The sequence below is a fragment of the Homo sapiens genome, chromosome 8 (assembly GCF_000001405.40).
Source record: "Homo sapiens chromosome 8, GRCh38.p14 Primary Assembly".
Lineage (NCBI taxonomy): Eukaryota > Metazoa > Chordata > Mammalia > Primates > Hominidae > Homo > Homo sapiens.
The window spans coordinates 123,496,625-123,509,462 of record NC_000008.11 but is presented as its reverse complement, the minus strand read 5'-3'; the positions used below and the strand labels follow the sequence as shown (position 1 = coordinate 123,509,462).

The 12,838-nt window shown below is 43.6% G+C and overlaps 1 protein-coding gene across 3 annotated transcripts in view, besides 1 other annotated feature; it reads left to right on the top strand.

The window, feature by feature from the left end:
- The window catches only part of FBXO32 (F-box protein 32), a 43,318-nt gene extending 31,744 nt beyond the window's left edge, over nt 1–11,574 (top strand). For all 3 annotated transcript variants that reach the window (NM_001242463.2, NM_058229.4, NM_148177.3), the window contains 3 exons: nt 2,889–3,071; nt 4,716–4,859; nt 6,001–11,574. In NM_001242463.2, the coding sequence (NP_001229392.1) occupies nt 2,889–3,071; nt 4,716–4,859; nt 6,001–6,090 (417 nt within the window). In that variant the 3' untranslated portion in view covers nt 6,091–11,574. The remainder of the gene's footprint in view (nt 1–2,888; nt 3,072–4,715; nt 4,860–6,000) is intronic.
- Nucleotides 2,434–2,978: an enhancer, noted in NCBI's record as "H3K4me1 hESC enhancer chr8:124518725-124519269 (GRCh37/hg19 assembly coordinates)". NCBI's record gives its function as "activates a minimal SCP1, AML or CMV promoter by ChIP-STARR-seq in naive H9 embryonic stem cells {active_cell/tissue: H9 hESC(naive)}" and the evidence as "EXISTENCE:reporter gene assay evidence [ECO:0000049][PMID:30033119]".
- Nucleotides 11,575–12,838: the final 1,264 nt, after the last annotated feature.

The window sequence follows — 12,838 nt, the reverse complement described above, 5'->3', positions numbered from 1 at the left end:
CTCCCAAAGTACCAGGATTACAGGCATGAGCCACTGAGCCCAGCCTCCACACAGAAGCTCAACTCTGCAGAGGAAAGAGAAATTGAGAGAGAGAGAAAGAAAAAAGACTTAATTACTTCAGTCTGGACTGTATTTTAAAACTTACTTTTTTAACAGTTTGGCCCAAAGAAAAGTACATTATTATAGGCAAATATAAAGTCAACTTTCAGAGTAAATGCTTTCTATTTTGCCAAAGTTCTGTCAGTCTCCTTCCAGCATAAAATTTTGTTTTCCTGCAAAATTTTTATATCTAATTCTATGGAGCCAATTTTTATTGGCAAAATAATTAATATAATAAAGAATGAAGGAAACAAATTAAGAGAACTGGGTCTTGGGGAAAAAATCAAATACAGTGACAGTATGCGGTGGGCAGGGCACTGTTTTGAAGCATGTGAGGAGTGACATAGACCCTAGTGGATGTTAGCCAAATGCTTGACTAGAGGAGCGAGAGTGACTAATTTTTCTTTTATACGTTTATATTCGAAAGGAAGAGGCATGTAAGCAGTTAACCACTTATCAGGAGGAAGGGCTTAGCATGGGGTCTGGGCAAGGATTTTGGAAAAGTTCAGGTTTGAAAATTTGACAGAGTGAACCCTGCCAAGTGGACTTGCCTTTAATAGGAGTTAATGTAATAATTGGCCTGGGAGTTTTAACCAAAAAAGTAGAGGCTTTGAAGTGTTGGAAACGAAAAGAAAATCTCATGGCAGTTTTATTAGCTCATATGATCAGCAGGAGATGATAAACGATAAATAGGTCTAGGGCCTTCTGCGGTTGGCAAAGACCTGAAGTTTGCAAACAATTGAGAGCTCTGCCCAGCAGCCTGGGGTAGAACCGAGCGGTATAAATTGTCAAGTCATAGATACTTTGAATGAAATAGGAGGCTGAAGTCCTTCTACATCTGAGATTGTTGGAGCTGGAAGGGATCTTCAGAGTCTTCTAAGCCATTCATTTTGGACATGGGGAGACTTCCCAGGGGAGCTGGGATCCAGATGTGCTGCCTGTCCATCCATGTTGCTCCCCTGCACCTCCCATTCTTCTCCATAGCTTAGCCTTCCCAAGGCCCCTTGCCACTGCTCCCTCCCCACCTCGTGCCTACCCTGCCTTGCTGGGGACACAGGAGAGAACTGCCCAGACCTAGTGTCTCCTGGAATCCTCCATGTGTTTAGGCTTCGATGTGCTTTGTACAGAGTTTGGCTCCTGTAAAAATTTGGGCAGGGAAATTGATACCCATTCTCAGGATATTTTCCCCTGAGCTAAGGAAGGGTTTCTTCATCCTGTATTATTTTTCCCCTGTGACCTCTCAGAGGTCACAGAACATTGATGGAAAAATGTGAGTAGTCCAAAATCAAGAGCTCACCCAGAACCAGCAGGGGCAGGACAAGGAACCGCAGTCCCAGGTGGTCTATTGACTTATCTGGATGGCAGCATCCTGTTGCTGTTCAAGACACATCAGCAAATACATATGCGGATTCCCAGGTGCAGATTCTTCCCACAGCGCTTTGTGCTTCCCTCCATGACAGCGTTTACTGTATTATTTCATATTATTTTATGATTATTTGTTTCTGCCTCTGGGTCTCTCACCAGCCTGAAGAGCTCAGTGCAGCCACTTCAGCACCAGGCCATAGTAGGCACTCAGGAGAGGTGGCTTGTGCTGGGCTAGTCTACAAGGGACATAAAATTAGACCCTGCCTTCAAGGATGTAGATCTGGGCAGGGTATCATGAGCTCATCAAAATTTAAAACAATAAAGGCTTAAATATATTAATAAGTTCAGGGATGTACCAGAAGCTCTTGGAGAAGCTCGCCATTAATTGCCAAGGTATCATCCACAGACCAGCAGTTTTCACAATGCTCCACGGAGGCCTCGGTTGAAATAGAGAAGTCTCAAGGGATGGTGGAGCTTGGGCCAAAGGCTTCTGGACCTGCCATTCCCAATGTGCACGTACACACACACACACACACACACACACACACACACACACACACCCTAGCACAGAGTCTCTGTGTTATTGTTTTCTACCTATTTAATTATTTGGGCTTCATTCATTCCACAGGTATTTGTTGAGCACCTTCTGTGTGCTGGGCACTCTTGTAGACACCCTGGACACAGTAGTGAAAAAAGATTAAAATTCCTTCCTTCATAGAGCTTAAGTTCCAGCAAGAATGTTCCTTTCAAAGTTTCTTTTAGAAAAAAAGCTCATGTTGCATGACAAAAAGAAGGATATTGCAAAATGTGTCTCAAAGAGATCCTAAGAATTCTAGGAAGGTGCAGTGAGTAAGGGAGTCACAAAAACAGAAAAGGCCTTTCAGAGGAAGTAGGTTTGAACTGGATCTGAGCAGGATGACCACGTGGCCGGGCAGAGAAGACTGGGGAGGCGAAGGCATTGAGGTCAGGCTGAGCCAGGTGTGTTTAGGTGCCAGTGAGTAAACCTACTTGGAGGGACCTGATGTCTGGAGGGGGGCCAGAGAGATGGGACTTGGGGTGGCAGGCTGGGCCACTCCATCCAGGGCAGTGAGGCCTTCAGGAAAGCAGCGAACCTTGTAATTGTGTGAACTGAGTAAAGCACATGCGCTATTTGGAGAGTCTTTAAGAGTGAAAGTTTCAAGCTTTGGAAATGTAGGGCGATCCCTCTGGCACCACTCAGCTCAGCGCACTCCACACTTCATTGAGGGTCATGGCCATGGTCTCCTGTCTGCATTTAGGATGGGGAGATTTACTACTGCTTTCGACCTCTTATCAATAAACTGCCTTGAGGGTGGAGGACGGGCACAGCTGCATGCCTGGAGGGTGTGGCCTGGTGAATCGCTGCTCTCTGGCCCCCCCACCTATTGTCACCCTTCTCTCTGCAGCCTGCCTTCAAAGGCCTCACCTTCACTGACCTGCCTTTGTGCCTACAACTGAACATCATGCAGAGGCTGAGCGACGGGCGGGACCTGGTCAGCCTGGGCCAGGCTGCCCCCGACCTGCACGTGCTCAGCGAAGACCGGCTGCTGTGGAAGAAACTCTGCCAGTACCACTTCTCCGAGCGGCAGGTCAGCAAGGCCCAGTGGGCTTTCCTCCCACCCTCCTTCTCTGGCCCTCACCCCAAACTTCCTTGGTGCCCTGCTCAAGCCTGAGGTCTGGGTTCCCCCTATTCCAGGTTCCCTGGTTTGACTGAAAAATGACAGTTGAAGGAGTTTTGTGATTTTGTTTTTTGAGACAGGGTCTCGCTCTGTGGCCCAGGCTGGAGTGCAGTGATGCAATCATAGCTCACTGTAACCTCAGCCACTTGGGCTCAAGCAACCCTCCCACCTCAGCCTCCCGAGTAGCTGGGACTACAGGCTCATGCCACAACACCCGGATAATTTTTTTATTATTGTTTTTGTAGAAATAGGGTCTCTCTATGTTGCCCAGGCTGACCTCAAACTCCTGGCCTCAAGCAGTCCTCCTGCCTCGGCACCCCCAAAGCTCTGGGATTACAGGCATGAGTCCCCATGCCCACCCTGTCTGAGTTTTTAAATAGAGATGTTGTGTGTGTGTGTGTTTCAGGTAGTTTTTATGGAAAAAATTAAACTTACATTCTTAACCTATTCTCATTTTACAACTCACTCAAAAAAATCATAAATTGGCACCCATCCTTTTTTTCTATAACACAATAACTTACATTTTCTGAGTGCTTTACAGTACTTTTTGTTTTGTTTTGTTTTTTGAGATGGAATCTCACTGTGTCACCCAGGCTGGAGTACAGTGGTGCAGTTTCAGCTCACTGCAACCTCTGCCTCCCTGGTTCAAATGATTCTCCTGCCTCAGCCTCCCAAGTAGCTGGGATTACAGGTGCACACCGCCATGCCTGGCTAATTTTTGTATTTTTAGTAGAGACAGGGTTTCACCACGTTGGCCAGGCTGGTCTTGAACTCCTGACCTCAGGTGATCCGCCTGCCTCGGCCTCCCAAAGTTCTGGGATTACAGGCGTGAGCCACCGCACCCTGTGTGGTAGAGTACTTTTACAGATATCATTTCATTTTATTCTGATGGCCCAGGGAAGGATAGGCATTGTTGTGCCCACTTTAAACAGATGAAGGGACTAAAGCCACAAATGGCTAAGTGACATATCCAAATTAGTGAAGTAGCTCTTTGGGTGAGGAAACTGGCCCTGACCTTGAATTTGGGCCTTCAGACACCAACTCCAAGCCTGTTTCCCTTCATCATGCTGCCTCAAGTTTGTTGGTCTTTTTCCAGTTTCTTTATATGGATGTGTGAGTTCAACAAGTTCTGTTCGTGAAGCCACTAATATTTAGATATAAAATAGAGCCCTGGTGCCAAGCAGTTATTGCATCTCCCTGGAAATGATCACTCAAGTCTACAGCAAAGAAAAGATTAAAGTTGTTTACTGAGATCACCTAAACTTTAAAGGACCATCCAGCCACAGTTGAGTAAAGGTCACTAGTAACATGTCACCAGCCACCTGGTTTTTTTGTTGTTGTTGTTGTTGTTTTTTAAGCTTGGTTAAAAGCTACTGTTTAACTGAGGAGAGCTAAGCAGGTACTTCTTTATATAGTGACAGTTTTCCTTCCTGGCTATTGTAGAGCTGAAAAGAGGGGGAAAGGGTGAGAGTAAACCTTTTCAGAACCGGAAAACCACAAGCCATCTTCTTGACAAACTCTCCTGTCATTTCCTTTATTCATTTGATTTTTTAGATCCGCAAACGATTAATTCTGTCAGACAAAGGGCAGCTGGATTGGAAGAAGATGTATTTCAAACTTGTCCGATGTTACCCAAGGAAAGAGCAGTATGGAGATACCCTTCAGCTCTGCAAACACTGTCACATCCTTTCCTGGAAGGTATGTGTCTCAGAGGTGGCTGCCACAGACCCCCAGCCCAGCCCCTAAGAGCCAAGAGTGCCAGCCAGCATGGTGAGGCCAGCGCCTTTCCGCCTCTTCCCCATCACAGCCCCCAGCTGAAAGTGAGGGTAAACTGATTCAGTGCCTGGGAGGGTGGGGGGGAAGGACTTTTATAGACCTCCATTTTCTTCACTTTCTTATGTTTACTTTTTTCTGCGTTCCACCCACTCCCCCTTAAATCCTCCTCTCTCTGTGTGTACGGGTACACACACTTACACATGGAAACACATAGCTTTTAGTTTTTCCAGACTTATAAAATTTTTTCATTGATGCATAATAGATGTACGTAGTTTCAGGGTCCATGCGATAATGTAATTCATGTAATTTGTCAAGATTAAATCAATGTACTTTGACACATTCATAACCTTAAATATTTGTCACTTATTTATGCTAGAACCATTCCAGTTCTTCTCTTCTGGCTATTTTGAAATGTTCAGTAGATTTTTTTTTTTTTTTTTTTGAGACGGAGTCTCTCTCACTCTGTCACCCAGGTTGGAGTGCAGTGGTGGGACCTCGGCTCATTGCAACCTCCACCTCCCAGGTTCAAGCAATTCTCCTGCTTCAGCCTCCCCGAGTATCTGGGACTACAGGCACATGCCACCACACCCAGGCTAATTTCTGTAATTTTTAGTAGAATGGGGTTTTGCCATGTTGGCCAGGCTGGTCTTGAACTTTTGACTTCGAGTGATCCACCTGCCTTGGCCTCCCAAAGTGCTGGGATTACAGGTGTGAGCCATCGTGCCCAGCCTGAAATATTCAATAGATTATTATATACTACATTCACTTACTGATCTAACAGCAGGTCTTATTCCTTCTATCATACCGTGTATTTGTACCCATTGATCCACTTCTCTGCATCCCCTTCCTTTTCCCTTTCCCGGCTCTGGTAACCACCAGTCTACTCTCTGTCTTCATGAAATCTACTTTCACAGCTCCCACATACGAGTGAGAACATGCAACATTTAGGCCTGGGGCATTATTGACAGAGAATTGTTGCTTTGAAGTTGGAAAATGCCTTATGGTGCTAAAAGCCAAAGAGAGGCCTCTGAGAACTTGAAGCTAACCATGTGTTCCTTTCCAGGGCACTGACCATCCGTGCACTGCCAATAACCCAGAGAGCTGCTCCGTTTCACTTTCACCCCAGGACTTTATCAACTTGTTCAAGTTCTGAATCCCAGCACATGACAACACTTCAGAAGGGTCCCCCTGCTGACTGGAGAGCTGGGAATATGGCATTTGGACACTTCATTTGTAAATAGTGTACATTTTAAACATTGGCTCGAAACTTCAGAGATAAGTCATGGAGAGGACATTGGAGGGGAGAAATGCAGTTGCTGACTGGGAATTTAAGAATGTGAACTTCTCACTAGAATTGGTATGGAAAAGCAAAATACTGTAAATAAACTTTTTTTCTAACAATTTGCCAGCAAGACTATAAGGGCAATAATTCTATTTCAGCGGTGAAAATGGAGTCCTCTTAATGGTCACAGAAACTCTCTTATAGTTCCCTAGGAAGAAAAAGGCAAAACTCAAATACAAAATAGGACGCTTTGTTTACAATGTGAAAATTTGTTTAGAAAAGAAAAAATGAAGAAGGAAAACTATATAGGAGAAATTCCTGGGCTTTGGGGTTTGATCTGGTGTTTGTTTTGAGAAGGCGAAGGAAGCGCCACCCATCCTAAACCTGCATGGGCACAGAGCCTTACCCTACAGAGATACCACACAATGGTCTACCTCTAAAAGCGTAGAGTGCCCTCTCTGACAACGCATGTGATCCAGTAGGCAGTGTCTGTTTTTCTCGTAAGTGTTTTCATCACTATAAAAAGTGATTTAAAATGGAAAGGGATATTGGAGGCAATCCTCTGGTTTCACACTTCCTTTTCAGGCAAACAGGGCCCTCCTTAGAGTTATCTGTTCACCAGAACAACCCAAAAGCACATGTTCCTTTTTTCCTGTCATGTTGTAGCTCATTTGGGGGAAAAGAAGGCCAACTTAAAACAGTCCCAGGGGAGGATTGCTTGAGCCCAGGAGTCTGAGGTTTGCAGTGAGCTATGATTGTGCCACTGCACTCCAGCCTGTCTCCAAAACAAAACAAAACAAAACAAAAGCCGTCCCAGAGGAAGTCCTGCTGCAGAAAAGATGATAGAATTGGTCACCCAATCAATAGCTGTGAAGACTTCCTTATTCCTGCTGAACTTCCTTCCTTGGATATCTTCATGGATAAGCCTGTGTCTGTGGACAGAGTGGGGCCCAAGTGCTGAGGCTCGAAAGACAGGTTTTACAATCAGCCAATTAAACATCTTACCAGTTGCTGTACCCCTTGCCAAGGGGATGAGCTGAGGAGCTTCTTTTCTTTAGGTCCAACATCAAAATGAGTCCATCTGAGCTAGGGCTTTTTGCAAAGGTGATTAAAAATCAAGGCTGGAGTTCCAGCCAAATAGGGAGGAGAGGTACCACAAGTTCATCTTAAACTTGCTTCCGGGCTGGGTAGTTAAAACAGGAAGATCCCAAGGGGATCTTACGAGGCAAATATCAGCAGGTAACTGTGGAAGAAAGGAAATCTCAGGACCTAATGAGTTCGTTGTAAAATATTCCTGGGAATAGATGGGGGATCTACTCCCAGTTTTTTACTTTTTACAGAATATTGTTGCTTTCCTACAACAATGTACATATATTTGCAGTTGTATATGCTTTTTTTTTTTCCAAATAAACTTGTCACCCTGCATGCCCTTGGCAAATAAGTGAAGCAGAAATAGGAACACAGTCCACATTCAAGTTGAGGAACAGTGTATCTTTAAGAGCTGAGCTTTGGGTGACCTGGAAAGGGGGAAAGATGGCTAAGCATGGAGAGAAACGAGGCAAGAGACAAGCTATGATACAACACCGCTTCAGCCCCTGCCCTCAATAGCACACAACCCACATATCAGCTTTCTGAAGAGAAGGAACCTACTGTTTAGTGCTCCTCACTTTGCAATGTTTGTGCTACGCCAGAATTTCTCCAGTTTTTTTCATTATCATCCCCCTGAGAAAAAAATTACATTGAATTTAAATTTTCCCTAATAAGAGAAATTAAATATGAAAGAATAGGATTTTGTTGGGTAAGATTGAGCTTTGGAAGGTCACGAACCATTATTCTATCTAAGGTGTGTGTTTTGTTTTGTTTTTTTTTGTTTTTTTTTTGCAATCCCTCTCCCCCTGAACCAATTTCACATTGGGAATGCAGGACCTAGACTGCTGAATAAAAAGCTACTTCTTCTATAATTGTCAGGTTCTCTCCAATTTCTCAGCTTCCTCAAAGACATGGGGTGGAGTTGGGTGTGCCATCACTGAGAGAGCTCTGGAACTTTTGACTCTTAGTGACATTTTTAGATTTAGGGGTTCATGGCCTTCCACATGTTGCCACCAACTGGTGATCTCTGCCCCTTCATGCTGATCAAGAAAGTAGAAACTCCTCGTCGCCTTCAGGTTTGCAGTCGCAGAAACATTGCCTGCTGTGGACTGTCAGCACAAAACTGGGACACTGGTGTCATTTAGACTGTCAGCAGTGCACATGATTGTACGATAGACTCCAGGCAACCATGTGCATCTGTGCAAGATGACCTCTGCCCCAAGAGAAGGGTTACGGTCTAATTAAATGTTTACCAAGATGGTACCAGTGGGCTCTCCCCGTGTCCTTTGGTGTTATTGGAGCTGGTGTATGACAGACTCAAGGAAATTTTTTAAGGAAAATGAAGAAGAAATCAACCTTTATGGTTCTCTTTCATTGGAAGAGGAGAATAAGGAAAGAAATGGCAGGTAGAGAGGGAGGGGGAAAGGAATAGAAATGGCATGTCTTTGATGCTGTGGCTTGTGTGGGGACAATGGGAAGAGCACAGCAGGCACAACATATCTGTGTTAGTGCCACGTGGTATCTGTTAAGTATGGCCAGAGCCTCACATATAAGTGAAGAGAGTTAAGACAATTCTTGCTCTTTGAACAATAATAGTCTATAGAATTTCTATTGGCAAACCATCCCAGACAACCTGACCTATCAAACAAAAGCAAATAATCCCTGTCTCAGAACTGCTGGTCTAAAAGCTAGAAGGGGCATGATAATGGAAATTGCTAGAAAAGAGAGAATGCTCTACTCTCTTTCCTGTGCCTACCTACCCCCATCCTAAACCCTGTAAAACAGAATTTCAAAATAGATGTCAAATATGAAGTAATTCAGACTTCCAAAGAAGGAAAGAGTTCTGCCCAGGGCAGTATGAGCAAATCCACAGGGATGTTAAGATTTGGTCCAACTCAAAGGTTTATGGGCAGTGAGCCTAGAGTCTCTTGAGAGTAAACCCTTGCATTTGGGACAAGGAGAATATGTGAAGTTCAGGAGTGCTCACACTAGAGCAAGATCCAGAAAAAAAAAAATCCAATGGCATTTTAAACTAGATTGCATTATCACTCAATGCTGTTACTTTGAGCAGACAAATCAGTTGAATGGGAGGGCAAATGGCAGAAATGAACAAAAGCTATTAGGTGAAAGCATCCCCAATGTATCAGTTGTGAGATGATTTTTGTTTAATGATGATCAGGTTTACATTGAAGTGGCTTGGAAGACGTATTTCAGAGGGACTGGGTTTGTACTGCAAAACTCTGAACACTAGAGCAGGTTCTACTAGCACTTGGGCAGTAAGGTAGCGGGTGTGTATTATGCTATTGCCATAGTTCTCGTCTTTGTGGATTCACATACCCTTTCCCATGAGGAGCTTGCTACTAACAGCCTCCTGTTTCTGTTGTTTTTATATGGGAGAAGAGAAAGAGCTTGGAATTTCAATTGTCTAAACAATTGGTATGATTTACAAGAAGGCAAACCATTCAGGAGATGTTCAACAGTGTATCATTCTTAGCATTCAATACAATGTTTATTATAAAATATACACCTGAGTTTATGTTTTTCTGCCAGGCTGAAGGGCAATAATGTCTTGCTATGCAAACACTCTATTTTATGTGTGAATTTTTTTAACTGTAATTTTATGTGTGAATTTTTTTAACTAAACTCTATCATCATTTTCTATGTTGACATCTTTTTTTTTTTTTTAATCTGTTTCCAACTCTGAGTCTGTGAACTATCTCTTCTGACTGGATGCTGGCCTAAAATCCTATTAGTGCTTAAACAGACCTCAAAACACTCTGAACCTGTAGGCCAATACAGAGATGTTGTTCTTTGATATATCTTGGGTCCTTGATGGCTTCAACAAACAAGGTCATAATTTGTTTAAATTCAGTGTTTTCTGTAGATACCTTCTTCTCAGTTTCATTAAGAAGAGTAACCATCTTTGGTTTTCCAAAGAATGGAAACTCCTACCCTAGACTTTAGACTTAGAGCGTCTGCCTTTCACGATGAGTAAGAGATCCAGAATGTTTAGGGGATGTGCGTCAGCCCACCTGGTACAGTGGCAAAGCTGAATGCGAACTTGAGGCCTCCTGAGGCCTGACCTTCTATGCCCCCAGCCCTCCACCCCAAGCACCTTTTGGTGTGGCTGGAAACACATGACATTGGATGTGATTTTTCTCAAGCCCTTCACTGTGGAAGGCATGGGAGACTGCCCAGCATTGGGCATGTGGCTGTTAACGTTTCCATTTCAAGTCCCTGATTCTTACTGGAGAAGTTAAGGAGCCACTTAATGTTTTCACAGACCTCTGATTCTGTTGTGAATGTGGCATTCCAGTGAGTACAACCTGCTTGCTATAAAGAAAGCAGCATATTTTGACAATTTTATTTCTTCCTTGGGTACTTACATTTTTATTACAAAAATGGCCGTTATAAAAAAAGACAGAAGGGCTGGGCAGTGGCTTGCTCCCTAGAAACTGAGATTCCGAAGCAGGTGTTTCCTCTCCCCTAGACTCAGAGGTACATTTAATCCATCTTCTCCATTTCCTCCTTCAGGACCAGCTATGAGATTCAGTGCATTTCTAGCCCAGCGGATGTTCATTCTCCACTAAACTTCATCTTTTACTAAGCAAAGGGGGATTATTCCATGAGGCAGCCAGGAGCAAGGGGCCATGATATTCATGACTTTGTCTGCTGGGCATTTTTCAAAGTGTCCTTGAATTCACTCAGCAAACAAAGCTTTCTGGAGAATCTCTCAAAACTTAGGCCCTGCTCCATTTGGCCAAAAATGATGGCTGCTCCAAAACTCTGAACTTCTTAAAACTCCATCTGCTACATTATTTCTGGAGTTTAAACATGACTTTTTCTGTCTTTGAGTATAGATGTGTTTGTTTAATTAACGAAGCACAAGTCTGTTAAGCAGAAGGCTCCAAGCTGTATTCTATACTTGGGAATCCTTGGTGCCATCTTTATTCTACCAAGTGCCAATCACCATGGCTAAAGTGGGCGTATATTACAGCCTGTGTCCTAAGCTTAGAAGCTTTAATGTACTTTTTTAAATGAAAAGTATTAGAGGGGGTTGAACATTGTAACTAAAGCATAAAGTTAGACCAATTACATGCAGAGATGTTTATTTAATATTGTGTGAGCTGAGTCCTTCTGTATAAATTATTTGCACACTTTTCTTGCATGATGAACTGATTTTTTATAGTTGTTTGTACCAGACGGTGGCATATTTTTGTAAAAAACTTTTGACACTGAATTGCAATAAATGTTTTTCCAACAACACACACTGGTGCATTTTTAGTATGTCCCAATTCAAGTTGGCTTTTTATCATACCAAATATGTTTATCTTTTGCCTATTTAGACTTATATTCCTTCTCCCAGAAACTTGTTACCATTTTTGTAAAATTTCTAGGAATCCATAGAAAAATAAGCTTGTTGCTGAATACCAACCTGAGTCCGTAATACAGCATTATGCTTAAATTGAATGTTTTCATATACTGTTTGCACAGCAGAATGATTAAGGAATAATGAATTTTGAAGTCAACATCAATTTATTCATCAACAGGCATTCATGGAACAGCTACTATATGCTAGACCTGTGCAAGGCACTGGGAATAGGGTAGTGAACAAGACAGAAATTGTCCCTGCCTTTTGTGTGTGGTTTTGTTTTGTTTTGTTTTTTGGTGACAAGGATGGGATCGTCCTTGCCTTAATGAAATTTAGATTTTAGTAAGAAAGAGGGCCCAGGTACAGTGGCTCACACCTGTAATCCCAACATTTTGGGAGGCCGAGGCGGGTGGCTCACTTGAGGTCAGGAGCTCAAGACCAGCCTGGTCAATATGGTAAAGCCCCGTCTCTACTAAAAATACAAAAATTACCTGGGTGTGGTGGCAGGTGCCTGTAGTCTTAGCTAATCAGGAGGCTGAGGCAGGAGAATCTCTTGAACCTGGGAGGCGGAGGTTGCAATGAGCCGACATAGTGCAATGCATTCCAGCCTGGGTGACAGAGGAAGACTCTGTCTCAAAAAAAAAAAAAAAAAAAAAAAAGCCGGGGGAGAGCCGGGCGCGGTGGCTCATGCCTGTAATCCCAGCACTTTGGGAGGCTGAGGCAGGTGGATCACGAGGTCAGGAGATCGAGACCATCCTGGCTAACACGGTGAAACCCCATCTCTAAAAATGCAAAAAAAGTTAGCCAGGCGTGGTGGTGGGCACCTGTAGTCCCAGCTACTCAGGAAGCTGAGGCAGGGGAATGGAATGAACCTGGGACGTGGAGCTTGCAGTGAGCCGAGATCGTGCCACTGGACTCCAGCCTGGGCGACAGAGCGAGACTCCGTCTCAAAAATAAATAATTAAAAATAAAAATAAAAAATATTTTTAAAGGGGGGGTGGGGGAGAAAGCAAGTAAAAAAAGTTATTTGTAATAACCAATATGAGGGGAATGAACAAAGGGTTGAGATCTAGAATAACAAGTGGGACCCAGTTAAGACAGTGAGGACCGAAGCAGCAGGGGCCTCTCTGAAGAAGTGATGTTGAAGAAGCCAGCCCC